The 23,403-nt window shown below is 37.8% G+C and overlaps 1 protein-coding gene and 1 long non-coding RNA gene across 6 annotated transcripts in view, besides 5 other annotated features; one reads left to right on the forward strand and one right to left on the reverse strand.

Annotated features, from left to right (window-relative positions):
• The window catches only part of ST8SIA4 (ST8 alpha-N-acetyl-neuraminide alpha-2,8-sialyltransferase 4), a 96,350-nt gene extending 91,549 nt beyond the window's left edge, over positions 1-4,801 (reverse strand). For all 4 annotated transcript variants that reach the window (XM_011543630.3, NM_005668.6, XM_005272078.4 and 1 more), the window contains exon 1: positions 4,362-4,801. In XM_011543630.3, coding sequence (XP_011541932.1) covers positions 4,362-4,474 — 113 coding nt within the window. In that variant the 5' untranslated portion in view covers positions 4,475-4,801. The remainder of the gene's footprint in view (positions 1-4,361) is intronic.
• Positions 1,924-2,143: an enhancer, noted in NCBI's record as "active region_22850". NCBI's record gives its function as "activates an Ori minimal core promoter by ATAC-STARR-seq in GM12878 lymphoblastoid cells {active_cell/tissue: GM12878}" and the evidence as "EXISTENCE:reporter gene assay evidence [ECO:0000049][PMID:35858748]".
• Positions 2,250-2,751: an enhancer, noted in NCBI's record as "H3K4me1 hESC enhancer chr5:100236435-100236936 (GRCh37/hg19 assembly coordinates)". NCBI's record gives its function as "activates a minimal SCP1, AML or CMV promoter by ChIP-STARR-seq in primed H9 embryonic stem cells {active_cell/tissue: H9 hESC(primed)}" and the evidence as "EXISTENCE:reporter gene assay evidence [ECO:0000049][PMID:30033119]".
• Positions 3,889-4,458: an enhancer, noted in NCBI's record as "OCT4-NANOG hESC enhancer chr5:100238074-100238643 (GRCh37/hg19 assembly coordinates)". NCBI's record gives its function as "activates a minimal SCP1, AML or CMV promoter by ChIP-STARR-seq in primed H9 embryonic stem cells {active_cell/tissue: H9 hESC(primed)}" and the evidence as "EXISTENCE:reporter gene assay evidence [ECO:0000049][PMID:30033119]".
• Positions 4,927-23,403, forward strand: part of LOC107986437 (uncharacterized) — a 41,126-nt gene continuing 22,649 nt past the window's right edge. The window contains exons 1-2 of one of the 2 annotated variants that reach the window (XR_001742826.3): positions 4,927-7,188; positions 15,735-21,090. This is a non-coding gene — a long non-coding RNA (uncharacterized LOC107986437). Of the gene's footprint in view, positions 7,189-15,734; positions 21,091-23,403 lie in introns of those variants that run through there. The other variant, XR_001742825.3, reaches the window with a different exon arrangement.
• Positions 4,944-5,183: an enhancer, noted in NCBI's record as "active region_22851". NCBI's record gives its function as "activates an Ori minimal core promoter by ATAC-STARR-seq in GM12878 lymphoblastoid cells {active_cell/tissue: GM12878}" and the evidence as "EXISTENCE:reporter gene assay evidence [ECO:0000049][PMID:35858748]".
• Positions 5,964-6,203: an enhancer, noted in NCBI's record as "active region_22852". NCBI's record gives its function as "activates an Ori minimal core promoter by ATAC-STARR-seq in GM12878 lymphoblastoid cells {active_cell/tissue: GM12878}" and the evidence as "EXISTENCE:reporter gene assay evidence [ECO:0000049][PMID:35858748]".

Consider the following 23,403-nt stretch of genomic DNA (forward strand, 5'->3'; position numbering starts at 1 on the left):
CGCTGTTTGAATTGCTTTCATTGAGCTGGTGATAAGCCAAATTTCAGACTTTCATCACTGGAAAGAATTTTGAATGAAAATATCTACAACTAGTCACACTTTTTATAGTCAGTGTGGGAGAAGGTCAAACTTAGTACAATCTGAAGCTCTAGAGTAAATTTCTCTGTATAAAGTTAAATGGGTCCCATGGGATGTTTCACTCATGACCTTGGTAGCATTCTGTCTCAGAAAAGGCTCTTCCTTCCCATGAATGCGAAGCTTGAAGGATGTTGCCACCCCCCTACTTGTCTCTCATTCCAGATCAGACATGACTTTTGAACAGCTGCACTGAAAACATTTATTGCATAGGATCATCTACAAGAAGATTCAATATGTACTTTTAAAAGGAAAATAGCGAAACACATCAACGAAATCACTCCACATAAATCAATATAATACAAAGGATCCCTGCTTATTTGGATCAAAGAAAAATTCACTAAGATGGTCATCTATGTGATACCAGTGGCAGGAATTAATCATTTTTTAGGTAACCTAGTGTCTACAAATATTTCCAGGCTTCACCACAATTTACTTCATTAGTTTTGCAGTACGTAAGACATATGATTAATTTCACTTCATGGTATTAGGTCTCAAAAGCCCCGTATTCCACCCTACTGAAACTCTTCATGACTTGGCTTTTGAATGTATTTGTTCCCTTTTAACTAGGTTAAACTTCCTCTTTAATATAAAAATTTAAATAAAGAACTTGCATGAAACTAAGCCTGAATACACACAGCAGGCCATTTTGTATTTTCATTACCTAAGTGTCAAACAACTAAAAATAAAGATGATAGTTTCTACCTTAATTTATGAGTTTTAGTAGAATTGTGAAATGTGAAATGTGAAGTAAAGTGCAAATTCTAGATTTCTGCACTCACGAGGTTGTGTTTCATCCTAGAACAAACTGGGACTAACTTTGCTGTCAATGGTAATACTCTAAGTAAAAATATTTATTTCCACTTTCAATTTTATCATAGGTTTTAGAACTAATATTGTTGATTATTTAGTAATACAACCTAAAGTACATAGTCAAATTATAAGAGAGATCTTTGGATAATAAGAAAAGTAAGTTAGTCTCATTTGTAGTCAACCAGAAAAATAGTGTGTAGCAAGATTTAAGGACTAACAAAACAAATATTTATATGACATTAAAGTTTATGTTACACTTTCAAATATATTATCTCATTAAATGAGGATGCTTACATATTTTACTTGTGGGAGCCTTACATTAACACATTTCCAGTTATACCCAAAAGTGCACAAAGAGCTAATTAAGTCATAAGCCAACTGTGAGGTCTACTAAGAAAGTAAAGTTAGTCAAGAACACACCACTTAATGCCTTCACTGCTCTTCAACTTAAACTTTATTAACTAATAGGCTTTTATGGAAGGAAATATGAATTTTAGATGTTCAATAATCATTACTTGACCTATGCTGGAACAATTCCTTATGTATTTAAAAAAACATGTCGCAGGTATTCCTTTGGAGATATGAGAATGTGGATGGTTGGTGAGAAGGTTGTGCTGGTTTTCTATTTTTCCATCTGCGTGGTATGACTGCTCAGTATTGTGGCATACTGTAAGAGTAACTATAGATGGGACCCCCATTTGCGGGGGGGAAGGGTCGAAGGGATAAAGGAACTGCCTTGTATTGCAAAATTGGTAGCAGAAAAGCTAAATATGAATCTGGGGTAGTGATGCAAGATTCAAGGACTATGGAAGGCCCTTCTTTGAAACTGCTGCCAAGCCACAAGGCTCGCAGTGCCCCCCAAAGGCCAGAGACTGCCTTGGTTACCTCACTTGAATACTGGACCGGGATCTGGAGCCGAACCTCCATTCCAGTTTACTCAAAACTCAAAACTGGCCTCTCCACGTGGCTTGGGTAGAAAGACAGTCAATGAGATGATTTGATGGTTTTATGAGTCAACTCCTCCACCAGAAGCGCTGTTTGGGAGTTGAAACGAAATAATGAGCTCGGGTCACAAGCTTTTCCACGAACCTTTCATCCTGGAGAAAAAGGAAAGTGCTCAGGGAGCCTAGCTGCCCTCGCATTGTTCCTGGCAGCTCCAACTCCTTGCACAGTCTTGGTCTCTCAGGAGACCAAGGCAGTCAGGACGCTACAGGGCACGGGTGTAAGCGCGACGTTCGCGGCCAGCCCTCTGCCTTGCCCCACTGTAATTGCGGGTTTTGATTAAGAAGGAGGAGCCAGTTGCCGACTGAGCTTTGAAAGTGACTTTGGGTGGGGGGTGGGGGTGGGGTGGGGGTGGAAGGAGGGGAGGGACCAAAAGAGCCTGAGTCCTGCAATAAAGGTTTCCCCCTATCTTCTCACTCATTCTTTCCCCCTCGCCGCCGGCGCTCTGGCAGCAGGGGATAACCCCGGTGCGCGCCTCTCTTCCTGTTTGGTTTACTCAAGCGCCTGCCCCAACGCCTTCTCAGTCAAGCTGGGAGGAAACTGCTTCAGCTTGAAAAGGATGCGGGCAAAAGCCCAGCCCGACTAGCTCAACCGCCGCGCCAGTGCCCGCCTCCTCTTCCTTAACGCCTAGGGCTGCGCCCACCAGCCGGCAACGTCCAGGAAAGGGCCACAGGAGAAATGACACCCGTGCAATGCGGAGTGTCCCGGCTCCGCTTCCCCGCAGGGACTCGAGGTGCGCTCCTTTTCCTGGCCACGGTTTAGGGAGGCTCGGAGATGGACACCTCGGCAGTATCTGGCGACCCTCTTCTCACTCGCTCCGCCCACTCCTGCTCTCCAGGGTCCCAGCCAAGGGCCCGAACCCTCGGAGTCCTAGTGAGCCTTGGCCGCTTTGTCTGGGATCAGGCTTATCCTCCTAGCCCACGGCCCGGGAGGGAACAAAGAGCCTCGACCCTCAAGCTCTAGCCTCTGCCTCTCATCGGAGCCCCATGCGCCCATTCATCACCTTTCTAAAGACCCCTTTGTCTGCCTGGCAAGCACAGGTCTGCAAGGGATGCCCACGCCCCTGCCCAAAGTCCTGCTTTTCTAACAACTGAGCTAGATTGGATTTTCAAGCCACCCAGTCTTGTGTAAACGACCTCATACCGGTCTTTTTTACCCCCTCAGAATAGACCATGTATAGATTCGTTGATGCATGACGACCATTCCAGCCCATTCCTTGCTAGCTTTTTCATTCTCTTCCAGTCCGCTTTGACTGTGCTACTGTTTTCCTGGTTTTCTACAGAATAGCAAGTCCTTCTGTAAGGATCAACCTGCATCTTGCTCGCTTAAATAAATGCTTATTACCTAGGGAGCAGGAATATTAAGAAATGGAGTGCAGGAAGTTTAAGAGCATGTGTGTGTGTTAGCAGTCCCATCTCTCTCTCTCTCACACACACATACACACACACGCAAGGGCTGTTTTCTTTGTTTTAATCAATGTCAGAGAAAAATATAAACTGGGCAGGCATCTCTGCTGGTGTGTAGTTTCTGATAGAGGACGCCTCCAAACCGGAACAGGGAGGATTTCCGAAACAGGACTTTGAATAGAGTTGACAATCAGGTTCACATCCTCAGAAAAAGCCTTCCAAGCTATGTCAGCAACACAAAGTTGCACCACCTCCTGGGTAAACTTCAAAGACACAGAGGCCAGCGGGTGGAAGGAAGTGTGATATTTAGAGAACTTAGTGGGGCGGGGGAGAGTCTGAACTCATCTAGACAAACTAAAAAAAATAGCAGAAATATAGTCTGTGTGAAGCTACAGTACCCAGTTTCTTTCTAAAACTGTAACCATGACGCCCATGCGTTTTAGCCGTAGAAGAACAAATAAGGAAGTATCCTTAGTGGTACTGGAGTTTCTAATTCAAATTATAACACATTAATCTATCCAACGTCAAATAGAAAAAAAAAAAGTAGAGAAACAGAGTATACCTATTTCCTGCTTTCTAAGCTTTAACTTCAGCCCTTCGAGAAACCATCTATCTCCAGTATCTCCTTAGGTGATAGGACATTGAAAACAGGCAACCGTTTGGTGAATAAAGACATTTCTCTTGAGTTCTGCCCACAGATTAAAAGGACAAGGACACACGTTCTTTGTTGACACTTCTGCAGTGACTTCTCCTTTGGCGAGAGAGCACCCAGGGCCAACACAACTGTCACCACAACCACACAGAGCAAGTTGAACTCATACTGGGAACAGCTTAGAGAAGCACGCACATCTCAACAACAGCCTTTGTTATTTAATTCATGACACTAACCACGCGCAAGCTCAAACAAACACACATGCTATCCTAACCATCACTCTACCCTCTATATTCACATTTCATTTATGGCTTGACTTTTTGTCATATCCTGAAATGAAGCTTTGCATTTACCCGATGAGTTGCGTCTCCTGGTGCTCCTCAGTTCTTGCTATTTCTTTTGTCTTATAAAAGATCAGGAGCAGACTTATTGTGCAGATCGTCCACCTCTTCCTAATGGAGCGCATCTTGGGTGCCCGAGAAAGTCCTGGTTGCCCCAGCTCCCGCACCTTCTCTTGATATAAAGGCTCCGTTTTGGGGAGATAGTCGCGGGGGTGAAATCTGTAAAATGCGAGGAGAGCTTGGAGCCGGGATCCCGGGATCAGATCACTGGGGTCTTCTGTGGCCGAGCTCCCTCTGGTCCTCGAACGCTGCCCAGCGACCTCTCGCCCTGTTTGCGCCAGCTCTGCCAGGGTCGCTCCGCGCCGCCTCCCTGGGGCTCAGGTTTCTTTTCAGATGAGACACCTTGTGCATTGGAGGTGGCGGCAGCTTCTGCAGCTGGGTTCGGGGGCGTCACTGGCCCTTCCCTCTTGCTAGGAGATAAACGCTGCGCAAAGCCAATCACCAGGCTGAGGGGGCGGAGGCTGCTTGGAGAGTAACGTCCCCGGCTCTGCCTGCTCTGTGCCGGGAGAGGAAGCTCACAGTGCTACGCGCCTGCGAGCTCGCGCACATACACATATACATACATACACACATACATACATATGCACACACACGTACACGCAGAATCACACACACTCTCCTGGGACATCAAAGCATCAGCTCTCTGGACCTGGGAGCTCCAAGATAGTCTATCCGCATCTAGGTGAGAGGGCACCTCGCCTGGGGACAGATTACAAAAGCGTCCCGCCAGAGGAATGCTTCAGGTAGAGCTAGGGGTGGATTGCAAGAAGAGTACCTTCTTTCAATCGCTTTTGCTAAACACACACCCTCACACGCAAAAACACGCCCTCCAAGGTGGAGTGAAACGGGGTGCGGGGGTGGGGACGGCGGTGGAAGGAAGAAGACTTTTATTACTCAATCTGGAAAGTGCAAATACACACATGAACCTGTTAGCCGATGGGCCCACTCTGCATGGGTGGTGGACGACGACCCTGGCTCAGGATTCTGCAGGAAACAAGTGATGATAGAGGTGTCATTAGGAACTTTATGGATATTTATGCGCCTCCCTTTCATTGCCATTTGGAAACTCCTCACGCAGAAGTCAAGGAAACTCCAATCCCACTTAAACTTCATTGCGGAGAAACAGAGTTCTGAAAAAAAAGCAGCTACCATGGACCTCTCTTTTAAACGCAAGTACACCCACACACATTCGGATACCAAGGAAGGAAGGAAAGAAAGAAAGGAAAGAAAAGGGAGGGGAGGAAGGAAGAGCAAAGTCCTCTCTAAAAGTCTCAATTATATATATAGCCTCTGATTGTCACCTCTCCTCCGTCCCACCATTTTTCGTACTTGTATTGGGTGGCAGGGACACTTTTCAAGAGTTCTGTGTTCGATTGTTCACTCTGAGTACCTCTCCACCATCCTCCAGTCGTTGCCCTCATTGGGAGAGATGCTTGCTACTCTGCTAGTACCACGCCTTGGTTCCGGTCTTTACTGTTGGCTGGTAGGTCGGGAGGCACCTCTAGCATGAGACAGTGTCTGGAAGCCAGGATTTCCCTCATCTATATGCGCCGGTCCCCAGCTCCCTGGTCGCCAGGGTTTCTCTCCAGTTGAATTCCGTGTTCCTTCAGGTTGAACAGTAGCTTCAGCGGTTTTTCACGCTCAGAAATGATGAGGCCCAATTCCAATCTTCCCTCCCGCCGGAAGTAAGAAGGGGAATTCTGAGTTGCTTGTCGCCTGACAGCTTAAAATAGCAACGAAAACAGCCAGCATCTTTGCTTAAAAACCCAAGGTTCCCGCCAGTGTTTACCATACTTCCTCTAGAGTTTAAGAAGTTAAGAACTTCCGAGATCTTGAATTTCCTCTTTGCAGCACAGCGAACGGGGTCGGGTATAAAAATGCTCCAAGGAGCAAGTAATTACGAACGTTTATTGACACTACAAGTGGCCCACAGGGAGCCTTTCGAGTTTATTGATGTCTAGGCAAATCCAGCCTGCATTAATGCATTTCTGTTAGATTGACTTCTGTTAGACTCACTTTTCTTCTGGCAAAAACTGCCAGAATAAAACAGCTTCTTATTTAAGTTAAAAGGGATCCGGGGCTGAGGGCAGGGGTCGGGTGGGAGAGGGATGCATGGTTAGGATGCTAAATTCTCAAGGATAAACTTTGATTTTTAAACAGTAGACAACTATATTTTAGATTATAGGTAAAACATCACTCTCTGTCAGGGATAGAGTAATATGCATCGTTTCATTAAACTCATTATTTCTTAAGCAATGGTTATGGGGCAGGCAATGTGTGCGGAGATGGGAACACAAAGATGAATAAAACTTAGCATCTAGTCAGACACAAATCCTACTCACTCAAAGGGGGCATCTTTTAAAAATAATAATTTACAGTATGGCAACATGAATCAGAAACATCATTTAAAATATATATGGTATCTGAGTAAGCTCCTGGGTTGAAGCAGATGGGGTGTTTAAGCCTTTTGAAGCCCGGAAGATGAGTTTCCGGGTGAAGGGGACACACAGACTCCTGTTTTCAAAGCTGACAAGGAAGTAAGCCAAGCAGAGGGAGGATAGAACATTGCAGGTGGAAAAAGGAGTATGCGCAACTCCAGAGAGTAATAAAACTCTGGTGCTTTGGGGCAACTTTGAAGTGGCTCAGTACTGTTAGAAGGGAAAGTGGTAAGGGAGAGTGCTGGTCCAAAAGTTTCGGTGTACTCATAATATTCTATGGCTCCAGAGTGTGGAACAGTCTTCTGTAATGAGAAAGCCACAAGAAAATCTTCAAGAGGAAAGTGAGTATAATCTATATTAAGCTTTAAATTACATTAGGGGAAACTACTTACCTAGCCCAAACAGGAAAAAACAAACAAACAAACAAAAAAAGAAAAGAAAAAAAAAAAAAAAAAGAGCGAAACGAAAGCAATCAAGAACTAGTTATAGGAACACATAAGACAAATTTAAATGTCCAGAAGAAAAATAAGTGAACTCTCCAATTGTATAATGCTGCTGTTTCTGAATTTTTTAAGTACAGAACTTTTTATATTAAGGCGAGCAATTCTGAATGACTGATAACTGTTCAGCGAGACTCCAGGAATTCTTCTTCCCAAATTAAAGCAATTTAGTGTTTGGAGTGTAATTGAATGCCATTTGTTTAATATTGTTAGATTCGTTAAATATATAGCCATTATAATTTGCCAATTAAAAAGAAGCCATACAGGCCAATACTTAGACAAAAGTGAGGACAGCATGGTTTTTTCTCAATATGTAAATAGGTGCAAGAACTATAAATATTGGATAAAAAGTCTTTTGGAATTAACTTCTATTAGAATGCTTAGTTTGATGTTCCTGAGCACCAAAAGACTATAAAGAAGTCTTTTGGAATTAACTTCTTCTATTAGAATGCTTAGTTTGATGCTCCTGAGCAAATAAGATTGTTTCTAAATTTTCATTTGATCTTTGGATTGTAAGTTCTTCAATAAAGAGAATATATTTGTCTTTATTCAGCACAATTCTACAATTATACAATAGCCTATAAATAAATAATGTGAGTAATGGCAGCTGGTTTTAAAATGATACTTTATCCTTTGACTTAATGTAAATTCATGTTTTCATTGCTGGCTGTACTCTCAAATCTAGCTGGCAAGAAATGAATAGATACTTGCAGTCTCATGGTGGAGTTTTTAATGACCCATGACATTTTTAATAGACTTTTTTTTTTTTAGAAAACATTTAGGTTTATGGCAAAATTGAACAGAAAATAGAGAGTTCCCATATAACTCTACCTTCTCCCCATACTCAGTCTCCCTATCAACATTCCTCATCAGAGCAGTACATTTCTTTTTTTACATTCAATGAAACTACATGTACATATCATTATCACCTACAGTACATAGGTCATATTAGGATTCATTCTTGGTGTTGCACATTTTATGGGTTTTGCCAAATATATACTGAACATATATTCACCATTATAGTATAATACAAATTAGTGTCACTGCCCTAAACATCCTCTGTAATCTGATTATTCATGCTTCTTTCTCACTCCCGGTCACCCCAGGCTCTGACTTCCCTAATGTTTTTACTGTCTCCACAGTGTTGCCTTTTCAAGTGTCATATAGTTGGAATCATAGAGTATGTAGCTTTTTCTGATTGGATTCTTTAACTTAATAATATGCTCCATTATTTTCATGGCTTGAAAAACAAATTTTTTTTCATGGCTTGAAAGTCCATTTTATTTTAGCACTAAATAAAATTCATTATATGGATATATCAAAGTTTATCCACTCACTTACTGAAGGACATCTTTATTGCTTTCAAGTTTGGGCAATTATGAATAAGGCTGCTGTAAACATCTGTGTACAGTTTTCTGTGTAGATGTAAAGCTTTCAACCCAGTTGGGTAAGTAGAAATAAATAAGATTGTTGGATTATATGGTAAGAATATGTCTAGTTTTGAAAGACACTGCCAAAGTGACTTCCAAGGTGGCTGTACCATTTTGCATTCCCATCAGCAATGAATGAGAGTCCTTGTTGTTTCATATCCTTGCCAACATTTGCTGTTGTATTGGTTTAGATTTTGACCATTATATCAGATGTGTAGTAGTTGTATCTTACTGTTGTTTTAATTTGCAATTCCCTGATATTATATGATGTTGAGCAATTTACACATGTTTATCTTCTATGGTAAGGTGTCTGTTCAGAACTTTTGCTCAGGTTTTTAATCAGGTTCATTTTCTTACTCTTGAGTTTTAAGAGTTCTTTCTATATTGTGGATAACAGTTCTTTATCACATCTCTTTTTGAAAATATTTTCTCTCAGTTTGTGGCTTGTCTTTTCATTCTCTTGACAGTTTCTTTCACAGAACAGAGGGTTTTAATTTTAATGAAGTCCAACATATTAATTATTTTATTGATGATTCCTTTGATGTTGTATTTAAAATCTAAACCTAAGATAAACTAGATTTTTAAGATATGTTACCTTTTAGGCATTTTATCATTTTCTGTTTAGGTCTATAATCTATTTTGAGTTAAGTTTTGTGAATCATGCAAAGTTTGTGTCTGGATTATTATTTTTTTATCATGTCAATGTCTAATTGTTTCAGCACCATTTGTTGAAAAAGCTGTCTTCTCTCCATTGTATTGACTTTGCTTCTTTGTCAAAGAAACAAAAGGTTAAATATATTTGGGTGGGCTATCCTGTGCTTTCTATTGTCTTCCATTGATCTATTTGTCTATTCTTTCACCAATACCACACTCTCTTGACTGCTGAAGCTTTATAGTAAGTCCTGAAATAGGGTAGCATCAGTCTTCCAACTTTATTCTTTTCCTTTAATATTGTGTTAGCTATTCTGGGTCTTTTGCCTCTCTGTGTAATCTTTGGAATGAGTTTCTTTTTTCTTTTTTATTTATTTATTTATTATACTTTAAGTTTTAGGGTACATGTGCACAACGTGCAGGTTTGTTACATATGCACACATGTGCCATGTTGGTGTGCTGCACCCATTAACTCCTCATTTAACATTAGGTATATCTCCTAATGCTATCCCTCCCCCCTCCCCCCCACCCCACAACAGGCCCCGGTATGTGATGTTCCCCTTCCTGTGTCCATGTGTTCTCATTGCTCAATTCCCACCTATGAGTGAGTGAGAACATGCGGTGTTTGTTTTTTTGTCCTTGCGATAGTTTGCTGAGAATGATGGTTTCCAGCTTCATCCATGCCCCTACAAAGGACATGAACTCATCATTTTTTATGGCTTTGAATGAGTTTCTTGATATCCAAAAAAATCTTATTGGGATTTTGATTGAGCTTGCACTGAATCTATGTATCACGTTGGGAAGGAATGTCATCTGGATAGTTTGAATATTTCTAGCCATGAATATGGACTATCTCTCCATTTATTTAGCTGTTCTTTAATTTATTTCATTACTTTTTTTTTACCTTTCCTCATGTGGATCTTATACATATTTAATTAGTTTTATACCTGAATATTTTATTGTTTGGGGAGTTAATGTAACTGACACTGTGTTTCATTTCAAATTCCAATTGCCCTTTGCAGGAACTCATGGCATTTTTTTTTAATAATGGAAATGTTAAATAGTATATACTTCAGAGTTTTTTCTTCAGAGAAAAAGAACCAATAACATTTGTATGGATAGTGAAAATGAGATTTATTTTAAGGTGTAGACCTCATGATGCGTGGGCTTGCAATTCCAAAACCTGCAGAGTAGTCTGACAGGCTGGAGACCTAGGGAAGAGCTATCTTCCATGTCTGAAGACAGTCTAGAGGCAGAATTCGCTCTTACTTAGGGAACATCCATCTGTTTTTAACTAAGACCATCAACTGATTGATTTAGGCCCACCCACATTATGGCGGTAAATCTACTTTACTGATAGTTTTAACTGATTTAAAAGTTAATTTTATTTAAAGAATACTTTCACAGCAACATCCGGCCTTGTGTTTGACCACATATCTGAGTACCATGGCCTAGCTAAGTTGACACAGAAAATTAAAAAGTTGAAATTTTTTTTGTGGTTATACAATATAGTGAGGAGTATTCATGCTTAGCTTTTTACCTATGAATGAGGAAAAGCATATAAATGAGAAAACTGCTGTTAACCACTGGGCAATTATTTCTCTTTCATTTCTTTCTGGACAAGACATCTAGTTTAAGTATTTTTTTCTAAATTAATTTTTACCCACATGAATTCCTATGAAATATTAATATTTTTCTGTATGTGTATTCACATACCTTCTTCTTCTGTTACATTTTTTCATCCATAATAACCAGATATAATAAGCTTATGATAGAAAGATGACCTTGACATTAGGGAAAAGACACAATCATGAATCTAGTATAATTTCTGAAAGAACAGAAAAATTCCATCATTGTCCTTATCAATTCCTCCTCATGTTTGACCTGTGTAACTTATAGCATTATCCTTTGCATTTAGTACTCTGATCTCTCTTTAAACATGAATGTCCTTGCAAGAGGCAATTCTTAGGTAACATTAGTCAAATAGTCTTCAATTTGTAATATCCATTTAGAATGTCCTTTGAAAGACATCTTTTAACTACTTTTGGTCAAATAGATCCAATTTGTAATAAGCTCTTCAATTGCTCACAGTCCACATTTTAATTGTTTATCTACATTTATCTCCTTTAGTTATATAGTCCAGGTTAGTATTGTTTTATTTTCTACTGTATAGACCCCTAAAATGTTGTAAACAAACAAATAGACTATCGCACACATGTTTTGGGAAATCACAGATGTCCTGTTTTAATACCTAGCAATATATTTCCTTTTCTTTGTTTTCTTTTTGCTGTTTTTCTGATCAAATGTGATAAGAGGAACTGTCTAGTAGGAACAGAGTAATCAGTAAACAAAATATCCCTCCAACCTGCTCTCCTATTGAAAAGTCATCATTTACTAGGCAATTTTCTATGTCACTATCTCTAGGAAGTTTATTATTTGGAGTTGTAATTTCTTCATATTTGTGGGCTTTTTAAATATTCTCACTTGTATGTGGTTTAGCCAACTTATTTCACCTGTCATAGGATCTTTTGTCTCTCATACTGTCCAATCCAATCACCCACTTAATTTCTTCATTTGAGTAACTCATCTTCCTTTTATTCTATTTTTAACCCTTCATATTAAAAGCAAAAGGAGAAATAATGTTACATATTGTGCAAGGCTAAAAATTTATTTGTATAAGTCCATGTCTTTTGAGATCTACACACCTACATAACTGCTTTTAGAGTTCTAATAAAAACAGTGAGTATCACTGAAAAATATTGCATCAAAATACATATTATTACATGGAGCAGTTCTATGTACATTGAATTTTGTGAAGGAAATGACATTTTAAATATTCTTTTAATATTTATTGTTTGAATGTTATAAAAATAAGAATACTGAAATCATTAATGACAGACTAAGTGATGGACATAGCCTGTAGAAGACTTTTGTTTCTTTGTAAATTGGGTTGAAATAGAACACCCCCCCACACACACACACAGTGCCAGTACTTCAAATTGCTTTTCAGAAATATCATGCGATTTGTTAATGCCAGACTTACCTACTCTAAGAGTAACAATTAGATGGAGTTGAGTAACAATTGTGTCATCTTACTTTATCTTAAATTTTTGTTTATTCCAAAAATTTTATTCAGTGATTTAATTTACTTGGACCCTACATGAATTTGAGTTTGCAATCCTTAAAGTGAATAATTCTATTACGACATACAAATTTCATAACTGACCTGCTTAATAGATTAAAGTTTCAATAATCTTAGCATTTGTAAAGTGAATAGTTGAGGAAATAACCAAATAAAACTCGTATGAACTAAAGTTTGATGCCAACTCTAGAGATGCCTAATCAGTCAGCAGGAGAAAGTTGCTCTGGGAGAATGAATCAATAGATATTTATTGGAGGGAGCCTGTGGGAATACAAGAAAAATAATGAATCTTATTCACATCTGACCTGGGCCTACCCAACATAATATAAATAATTGATCTCTCCTCTGTATTTCCACAATTATAATTGCCTACATTTCACCAGAAAACTTTATGTCAATACCTATGGATAGCATAGATATTGTGGTTAAGCACATGATGCTTACAAATATCAAAGTTTATGCAAATTGTGACAGCTTATGTTAGTTGCTGTCTGATTGTAATCCCATCAATAGAAAAAAACAAACAAATACATATTAAACTCTACCAAAAGATCCAAACTATCAGGATTTTTAATAACTTTTGTATGACCTACATGTAAAGAAAGTTATTTGCTTTGTGACTACATGTCTTACATGGGAACATGAAGAAGGTAGCAGAGTGGATTTTTCCACATGTTTTTGGCAGATTAATAAATTTAAAGTGAGTTCTCAGGAATGAATTGATTATTGTAACTTTTTTTAAAGTGTAAAATTCTTGTGAACACTAACCTAGAACCTATAGAGATTTTGAAAGTGTGTAGCTAATATTACAGACAGCTACTATATCTCTACTAAGGTGAGCAGAGAGGTTTGGACAATTGATGATTCTTGTTTATTTTTATTTTATTTATTTATTTATTTATTTTTGAGACGGAGTCTTGCTCTGTCGCCCAGGCTGGAGTGCAGTGGCGCGATCTTGGCTCACTGAAAGCTCCACCTCCCAGGTTCACGCCATTCTCCTGCCTCGGCCTCCCGAGTACCTAGGACTACAGGCACCCGCCACCAAGGCCGGCTAATTTTTTGTATTTTTAATAGAGACGGGGTTTCGCCGTATTAGCTAGGATGGTCTCTATCTCCTGACCTCGTGATCTGCCCACCTCGGCCTCCCAAAGTGCTGAGATTACAGGCTTGAGCCACCACGCCCAGCCGATGATTCTTGTTTATGGATGCTGAGATCTCTTTGAGGATGTAGTCACCTATAGGAAGCATCAAAAGTAGCCTCATATCAGGAAATCTCTATGACAAACTGTAGCACCAACCCAAATAGACACTTCAAACTAACAGTTGATTCAACTACCCACCTAATCAGTTGGCATAGTTATTCACAATCTGTATGTAGTCAAGGGGTTAAAGATGAGACTAAAACCCCAAAGAAGACTTTGGAAATGATGTATGTTTACCTGCTCTCTTTACATAGAAAAAACTGAATTAGTGTTAGCAAGTGATTTGCATGTGGTATTCATTCATTCATTAATCAAAACATATTTCCTGTGCACATGCTCTTTGCCAGGCATTAAACTAGACACTAAGGATATAGCAGAATACAAAACAGAAAAACATCCTCCTCTTGAGGGCTATCATTTTTAGATGTAGAAAGGTATAATAAAAGGAAAAAAATGGAGGTAATTATTGTGATTAGTGCTATGAAGGAACCAACAGGGCAATGTAACTGAGAGTAATAAAGGAGCTTTTCTTTGAATAGGATTTCCATCCAAGGGCTTTCTGAGGAGGTGACATTTGAATTGAAACCCGCAGAATAAGAACAGAATGGGGAAGAGCCTTATAGTATGAAAGAATAGAAAGTGCAAAGATTAGGAAGTGGAAATTGTAGGCAGAAACGTCAGGAAATAAAGAATACAATGGAAGCCATTATACTGAGCACAATAAATTAAGAAAGATAGAATAGTATATAGGGATGGATTTATTGAAAGCAAATTTCTGAAATAACTATACCAAATTCTAAAAAAGCAAACCGATTTAGGACATGTAATATTATTTTTAGGCAGTGATGAATTTAAATAGAGTCCTGTCAATACAGTTATATGACTATTTTCAGTTGAGTTCAGTTGTACAGAGTTTAGACATAGAAAATGTATGTACTTGAGTTCAAGCAGTGAAGAGAAAACAAGAGTTGTAAGTGCTTAAAAACTCATGATAATAAATATGAACCACCAAATATAAGAGGGTAACAAGGAGAGTGAAAACAGAAAGGGAATCATGCATAAAGATAAAATCTAAAGCTCCTTGGGATGAAATCTCAATTTTGAGGTACTACCTGAGAAGTTGAGCTGAAAAGATGAGAGATATTTAGTAATACTGAGAAAGTGAGATGGTTACAACTTGGATTTCTGGGGGAAAATAAGTCATTGATGTACAAGAGTGTTTCCATGGGAACAGAAAACTAAATCAAGGTGAAACCAGATTTTGCTAGATATGAGGGAGTAAAAGACAGAGAGAGACTAAGGTTTTGAAGAACTCATCAATACAATTATTTAACTCACTAAGAACGATAATGAGTATGGATTACATGAGCTGTGCGTGACTTTATTTTCTGGGGAATAACAGGTGATCTGTAGATGACAGCATGAGGAGTAGTAGAGAAAAATACAACCGGTGGTATAATCTCCAAAGGACATGAAGAGATGTTTTGTGTATGCAATGGAGAACCCAAAAAGATACCTTTCCTATTCCTGGCCATGACTTAGATGACATGTCAAAGAAAAGCAGCCTTCACTTTGTAAGGTCATGCTGAAGTAGGAGAGATGTCTCCTCAAATGCTCAGCAGTGATATCAAGTGATGAGACTACTAGTTTATTTAATCATACATTATTAAAACCAAAAGGCAAACAAATCATACTTTTTAGTAACTCGAGATTGCAGAGTATTCTTATTTTTTATTAATGTGAATTTTAATAAATTTAAAATTTTTATTTCTGTTCAAGCGGCAAACTTTTTTACTCGACGTCATTTAAGATGCATTCAAATTTGCAATTCAAATTTTTTGTTAAAATGTTTCATCTTGATTGTTTTCTAATCTAGTTATGAATTTTATTAGTTGGCTTTATTAATAACAAACAACCCCCCAAATGACAGTGGCTACAACTGACATTGATTTATTGTTCCAGACAGATATCCATGGCTGTGGATCAACTTCTGTGGCTCTGTTCCCCTTGTCTTCTCACACCAGATTCCAGCCTCTTCAAGAAGTGGTCCTTATTTGGGACATCTAGCAAGACAGACCTGTCAGAAACACTTGATGCCTTCTGAAGTTTTTCTTTTTCTTCTCAGATGTTTCTATACGCTATATTCCCTCACATTCCATTGGCTAAAGCTTGAAATGTGGCCAGGCCCTAAATCAATGGGACAATAATGTAGTACCTCTTTAAGGAGGTCTCTATAGGCCGCATGTCAATAAATGATTCAGGATAAAGCCCTTACTAGAAAGAGAACAGAGCAAAAATTGAGCGGCAAAAATAAGATCTACCGCTGGAAGGTGGTACTGATCCCTCACACAAGTTATGAAAATGTGGTGGATAAATCATTGAGAAACTAATATTCAGGAGATAAATCCACACTTTTTAAAGAGACATGTATCTGTCATGAATAAAATCCAAATGCTGACGATGTCTTCAGGGTCCAAGAGGATAGAGGATTTAAGAAAAGAATAAATGTCAGGAATACTTTTTTTCTGAAAAAGTCTAGAAAATAAAAACAAATGAAACAATGAGAATAATACTGTTGTAAAAAGAAGGTAGTTAATTAATATCTCTAAAATTCTCATAAGTGACAATTCTTTTATGGTAAAATTTCCGTGATCCGACGTCTGGCCACCAAATTTACTGACTAAGGTACATGATTCTATCATCACTCCACAAATGTTCCATATATCAAAGGGCAGACAGGTATTATTAAACCCATGAAGCAAAGAGCATGTTTTATTCATCTCAGGATGGAGATAGTTCTGCCAGATGTCTAAGTGTATTTGAAGGCTGATGGCCAAAGCTCTCTTTCCATAAAAAAGTGGTGAACTAGCAGCTGCCAAAACCTGTATCTTCAAGTTTCTTTTCTATAGGATTACTGGTTTAATCTTAATACTTTCTGATTGACCCATTTATTGTTTAGCTTTCTTAATCCATATAATCAGGTTGCATTTATGTGTTCACAGCATGAAGCTATCCTGTCTCATATAACATTGTATCTCTGATCTTTAATTTTAAAATTTCTCCCCCCAAAAGCAACCACTATTGCCTGGCACAGTGTGGTTCATGCCTATAATCCCAAGCCTGTAATCCCAGCAGTTTGGGAGGCCGAGGCAGGCAGATCACTAGGTCAGAAGATCGAGGCCATCCTGACCAATATGGTAAAACCCCATCTCTACTAAAATACAAAAACACAAAAAACAAAACAAAACAAGAATTAGCCAGGTGTGGTGGAACATGCCTGTAGTCCCAGCTGCTTGGGAGGCTGAGGCAGGGGAATCACTTGAACCTGGGAGGCAGAGGCTGCAGTGAGCTGAGATCGCGCCACTGCACTCCAGCCTGGTGACAGAGTGAGACTCCATATCAAAAAAAAAAAAAAAAAGCAACCAATATTCCCACTCCTTTCCTAAAATTTAGAGGGTTCACCTTCCAGAGAACTGATATCTTATTTACATATTCCCAAATCTTAAATTTAGAGAAAACTTCCCCTTAGTTATAACACCTCAATTAATTAATAATGTTTATATTTGAGAGATAGACTTCAAGAAATCTTGGATATCACATTAATAATCCAAAATGTCTCAATGATCAAGGCAGAAAGACTTAGAGAGCAATGAGCTATGAGCATAAAGGTGTTCACAAAGGTATGATAATGAGTTTGGTTATCCTTTCTCATTGTCCACTCTAGACTTTAGCCAGAATCATTTTTTTCTCTTTTTTTTAAATTATACTTTAAGTTCTAGGGTACATGTGCACAACGTGCAGGTTTGTTACATATGTATACATGTGCCATGTTGGTGTGCTGCACCCATTAACTCATCATTTAGCATTAGGTATATCTCCTAATGCTATCCCTCCCGGCTCCCCCCACCCCACAACAGGCCCTGGTGTGTGATGTCCCCCAACCTGTGTCCAAGTGTTCTCAATGTTCAACTCCCACTTATGAGTGAGAACATGCGGTGTTTGGTTTTCTGTCCTTGTGATAGTTTGCTAAGAATGATGGTTTACAGCTTCATCCACATCCCTGCAAAGGACATGAACGCATCCTTTTTTATGGTTGCATAGTATTCCATGGTGTACATGTGCCATATTTTCTTAATCCAGTCTATCACTGATGGACATTTGGGTTGGTTCCAAGTCTTTGCTATTGTGAATAGTGCTGCATTAAACATACGTGCATTAAACATACATGTGCATGTGTCTTTATAGTAGCATGATTTATAATCCTTTGGGTATATGCCCAGTAATGGGATGGCTGGGTCAAATGGTATTTCTAGTTCTAGATCCCTGAGGAATTGCAACACTGTCTTCCACAATGGTTGAACTAGTTTACAATCCCACCAACAGTGTAAAAGTGTTCCTATTTCTCCACATCCTCTTCAGCACCTGTTGTTTCCTGACTTTTTAATGATTGCCATTCTAACTGGTGTGAGATGGTATCTCATTGTGGTTTTGATTTGCATTTCTATGATAGCCAGTAATGATGAGCATTTTTTCGTGTGTCGGTTGGCTGCATAAATATCTTCTTTTGAAAAGCATCTGTTCATATCCTTCACCCACTTTTTGATGGGGTTGTTTGATTTTTTTCTTGTAAATTTGTTTAAGTTCTTTGTCAATTCTGGATATTAGCCCTTTGTCAGATGGGTAGATTACAAAAATTTTCTCCCATTCTGTAGGTTGACTGTTTCTGATGGTAGATTATTTTGCTGTGCAGAAGCTCTTTAGTTTAATTAGATTCCATTTGTCTATTTTGGCTTTTGTTGCCATTGCTTTTGGTGTTTTAGACATGAAGTCCTTGTCCATGCCTATGTCCTGAATGGTATTGCCTATGTTTTCTTCTAGGGTTTTTATGGTTTTAGGTCTGACATTTAAGACTTTAATCCATCTTGAATTAATTTCTGTATAAGGTGTTAGGAAGGGATCCAGTTTCAGCTTTCTACATATGGCTAGCCATTTTTTTCCCAGCACCATTTATTAAATAGGGAATCCTTTCCCCAATTCTTCTTTTTGCCAGGTTTGTCAAAGATCAGATGGTTGTAAATGTGTGGTATTATTTCTGAGGCCTCTGTTCTGTTCCATTGGTCTATATCTCTGTGTTGGTACCAGTACCATACTGTTTTGGTTACTGTAGCCTTGTAGTATAGTTTGAAGTCAGGTAGCGTGATGCCTCCAGCTTTGTTCTTTTGGCTTAGGATTGTCTTGGCAATGCAGGATCTTTTTCATCTCATATGAACTTTAAAGTAATCTTTTCCAATTCTGTGGAGAAAGTCATTGGTAGCTTGATAGGGATGGCATTGAATCTATAAATTACCTTGGGCAGTATGGCCATTTTCACCATATTGATTCTTCCTATCCATGAGCATGGGATGTTCTTCCATTTGCTTCTGTCCTCTTTTATTTTATTGAGCAGTGGTTTGTAGTTCTCCTTGAAGAGGTCCTTCACCTCCCTTGTAAGTTGGATTCCTAGGTATTTTATTCTCTTTGAAGCAATTGTGAATGGGAGTTCACTCATGATTTGGCTCTCTGTTTGTCTGTTATTGGTGTATAGGAATGCTTGTGATTTTTGCACATTGATTTTGTGTCCTGAGACTTTGCTGAAGTTGCTTATCAGCTTAAGGAGATTTTGGGCTGAGACGATGGGGTTTTCTAAATATACAATCATGTCATCTGCAAACAGGGACAATTTGGCTTCCTCTTTTCCTAATGGAATACCCCTTATTTCTTTCTCCTGCCTGATTGCCCTGGCCAGAACTTCCAACATTATGTTGAATAGGAGTGGTGAGAGAGGGCGTCCCTGTCTTGTGCCAGTTTTCAAAGGGAATGCTTCCAGTTTTGCCCATTCAGTATGATATCGGCTGTGGGTTTGTCATAAATAGCTCTTATTATTTTGAGATACATCATCAGGGATATTGGTCTAAAATTATCTTTTTTTGTTGTGTCTCTGCCATTGCCAGAATCATTTTTACTTTTGGGTAATAATTTGCAATCAGTGAAGTGTACCGTTCTTAAGTGTTCAATGTAATAATTTTGGTAAAATCTGTAAGCAATAAATAACACTTTGATCAAAGCATAGACTATTTTCATCATCCCAGAATATCCCTTTTTCCCTCTCCCTAGTAAACCCCATCTATCATAAACGATCATTCTCTATTATTTATCTCACCATAAATATTTACCTGTTCTTGAGCTCCATAAAAATTGATGTATGCAGTATCTGTTGTTTGAGATCTATGTTTTGAGTGTTCTCAATGTTGTGGTTTTTAGCAGTTCATTTGCCAAAAAAATATTGTTTGGTATTCTATTGAATAAATATACCTCAGCTTGATCATTTATTTTCTTGTTGATGGATAGTTGGGGTTATTTTCAGTTTGAGGCTTTTATAGATAAACTTAGAACTTTGCAAGTCTTTTGTGGAAAAAAGATATTCATTTCTCTTGGAAAATATTTTTATTTTCAGGGGTGATAATGTTTGGTCATTTAATACGTGTGTGTGTGTGTGTGTGTGTGTTTGTGTGTGTTTCACTCCCCCATCATTGTATTAAAGTTCTAGCTATTCCACATTATCACCGACATTTGATATTTTCAGTCTTTTTCCCAATTTTGTACCTTCTATTGAATGTGAAGTATTATCTCATTATGTTCTTGGCCATTTGTGTATATTCATCTTTGAAATTTCTGTAAAGAAATGCACCTATTTTTATTGTGTCTGTTTTCTTTTTATTATTGAGTTATAGGAGCTCTTTATACAATCCGGACAAAATATAAGGTTGTAAAAGCAATGTGATTTTAATGACATTACTTCTAATGGCAAAAACTGCAGTAAGTTGCACCAATTTAATACTTCATCACATATACCTATTCTAAGTATTTTTCCCTAATCTAAAGCTTCCCTTTTCATTTCCTTAGAGCGGCATAAGAATGAGCAGATGTTTTAAATTTGGTAAAGTTCAATTTATCAGCTTTTCTTCTATGGCTTGCGTTTTTTGTGTCCTGTCTAAAAACCCCTTTGCTCTCCACAGAGTTGTGTGTGTGTGTGTGTGTGTGTGTGTGTGTATATACATATACACATATACGCACACATATTCTACTTCAGAATTTTAGGTTCAATATCAAGGCCTGTTATCCTTTTCAAATTAATGTTTGTATGTTATATATTATTGGTTAAGATATATTTTGTCCATATAAACATTGAGTTGTTTCAGCACTATTTATGCAAAATACATTCTGTTCTCCCTTAATTGTTTTGACATTTTCATTAAAACCCACTTGGCCATGAGTAAAACTATTTCCAGAATTTGTATTTTATTTTATTGATATATCTGTTAATTGTTATACAAGCATAATACTATTTTGATTAATGTAGCTTAATAGTAAGTCTTAAAATCAGTAGAATGTATCCTCCATTTATTTTATTCTCCAAAAATTTTGTTTTCCTAGGTTCTTTGCATTTCCATACACATTTTAGAATCAGTTCATCAATTTCTTTAAAAAACAAACAAAAGCCTGTTATTATTTTGATTGGGATTGCAATGAATATATAAATCCATTTGTGGAGAAAAGACACCTTGACAACATCAAGTTTTCTAATCCATAATCATGGCGTATTTTTCCATTTATTTAGGTTTTAATTTATCTCAGCTATGTTTTAAACTTTTTAATGGAGATGTCTTCCACATTTTATGTTAAATTTATTTCTAAACATTTTTTAAATACTACTTTGAATGGTAATTTTAAGCTGTTATTTTTCAATTCTTTCTTGCTATTAAATAGAAATATAACTTTTTAAAAGGCATTAACCTTGCATTCAATAATAAATCTAAAATTATTTATTAGTTTCTTTGTCCACAGTTTCTTTATCCACTCGTTGATTGATGGGCATTTGGGTTGGTTCCACATTTTTACAATTGTGAATTGTGTTGCTATAAACATCTGTGTGCAAGTATCTCTTTTACATAATGATTTCTTTTCCTCTGGATAGATACCCAGTAGTGGGATTGCTGGATCAAATGGAAGTTCTACTTTTAGTTCTTTAGGGAATCTCCACACTGTTTTCCATAGTGGTTTTACTAGTTTACATTCCCACTAGCAGTGTAGAAGTGTCCCCTGTTCACTGCATCTATGCCAACATCTATTATTTTTTGTTTTTTTGAACATGGCCATTCTTACAGGAGTAAGGTGGTATAGCACTGTGGTTTTGATTTGCATTTCCCTAATCATTAGTGATATTGAGCATTTTTTCATGTTTTTTGGCCATTTGTATATCTTCTTTTGAGAATTGTCTATGCATGTCCTTTGCCCATGTTTTGATGAGATTGTTTGTTTCTTCTTCTTGCTAATTTGTTTGAGTTCATTGTAGATTCTGAATATTAATTAGTCTTTTGTCAGATGGATATATTGTGAAGATTTTCTCCCACTCTGAGGTTGTCTAAGTACTCTGCTGACTGTTCCTTTTGCCATGCAAAATTCTTTTGCTTAATTAAGTCCCAGGTCAAATGGATAGACTGTGAAGATTTTTTCCCACTCTGGGGGTTGTCCATTTACTCTGCTGACTATTCCTTTTGCCATGCAAAAGCTCTTCTGTTTAAAAGTCCTAGCTACTTATCTTTGTTTTTATTGCATTTGCTTTTGGGTGCTTGGTCATGAAACCCTTGCCTAAGCCAATGTCTAGAAGGGTTTTTCTGATGTTATCTTCTAGAATTTTTACAGTTCCAGGTCTTAGATTTAAGTGTTTGATCCACTTTGAGTTGATTTTTGTATAAGGTGAAAGATGAGGATCCAGTTTCACTCTCCTACACGTTGCTCGCCAATGATCCCAGCACCATTTGTTGAATAGGGTGTTCTTTTCTCACTTTATGCTTTGCTTTATGGTTTGCTTTGTCAAAGATCAACTGGCTGTAAGTATTTGGGTTTATTTCTGGGTTCTCTATTCTGTTCTATTTGTCTATGCCTATTTTTATACCAGTATCATGCTGTTTTGGTGACTATGGCCTTATGGTATAGTTTGAAATCAGGTAATGTGATGCCTTCAGATTTGTTCTTTTTGCTTAGTCTTACTTTGACTATGCAGGCTCTTTTTTGGTTTCATATGAATTTTAGGATTTTTTTTTCTATTTCTATGAAGAATGATGGTGGTATTTTGATGGGAATTGCATTAAATTTGTAGATTGCTTTTGGCAGTATGGTCATTTGCACAATAGGGTTTCTACCTATCCAGGAGCATAGGATGTGTTTCTATGTTTATGTTGTCTATGATTTCTTTCAGCAGTGTTTTGTAGTTTTCCTTGTAGGGATCTTTCACCTTCTTGGATAAGTATATTCCTAAGTATTTTTTTTTTTGCAGCTATTGTAAAAGAGATTGAATTTTTGATTTGATTCTCTGCTTGGTCATTGTCAGTGTACAGAAGATCTACAAATTTGTGTACATTAATTTTGTATCCTGAAACTTTGCTGAATTAATTTATGAGTTCTAGGAGCTTTTTGGATGAGTCTTTAGGATTTTCTAGGTATAAAATCATATCATTAGCCAATAGTGAGAATTTGATTTCCTCTTTACCCATTTGGATGCTCTTTATTTCTTTCTCTTGTCTGATTGCTC

The sequence above is a fragment of the Homo sapiens genome, chromosome 5 (genome assembly GCF_000001405.40).
Source record: "Homo sapiens chromosome 5, GRCh38.p14 Primary Assembly".
Taxonomy (NCBI): domain Eukaryota; kingdom Metazoa; phylum Chordata; class Mammalia; order Primates; family Hominidae; genus Homo; species Homo sapiens.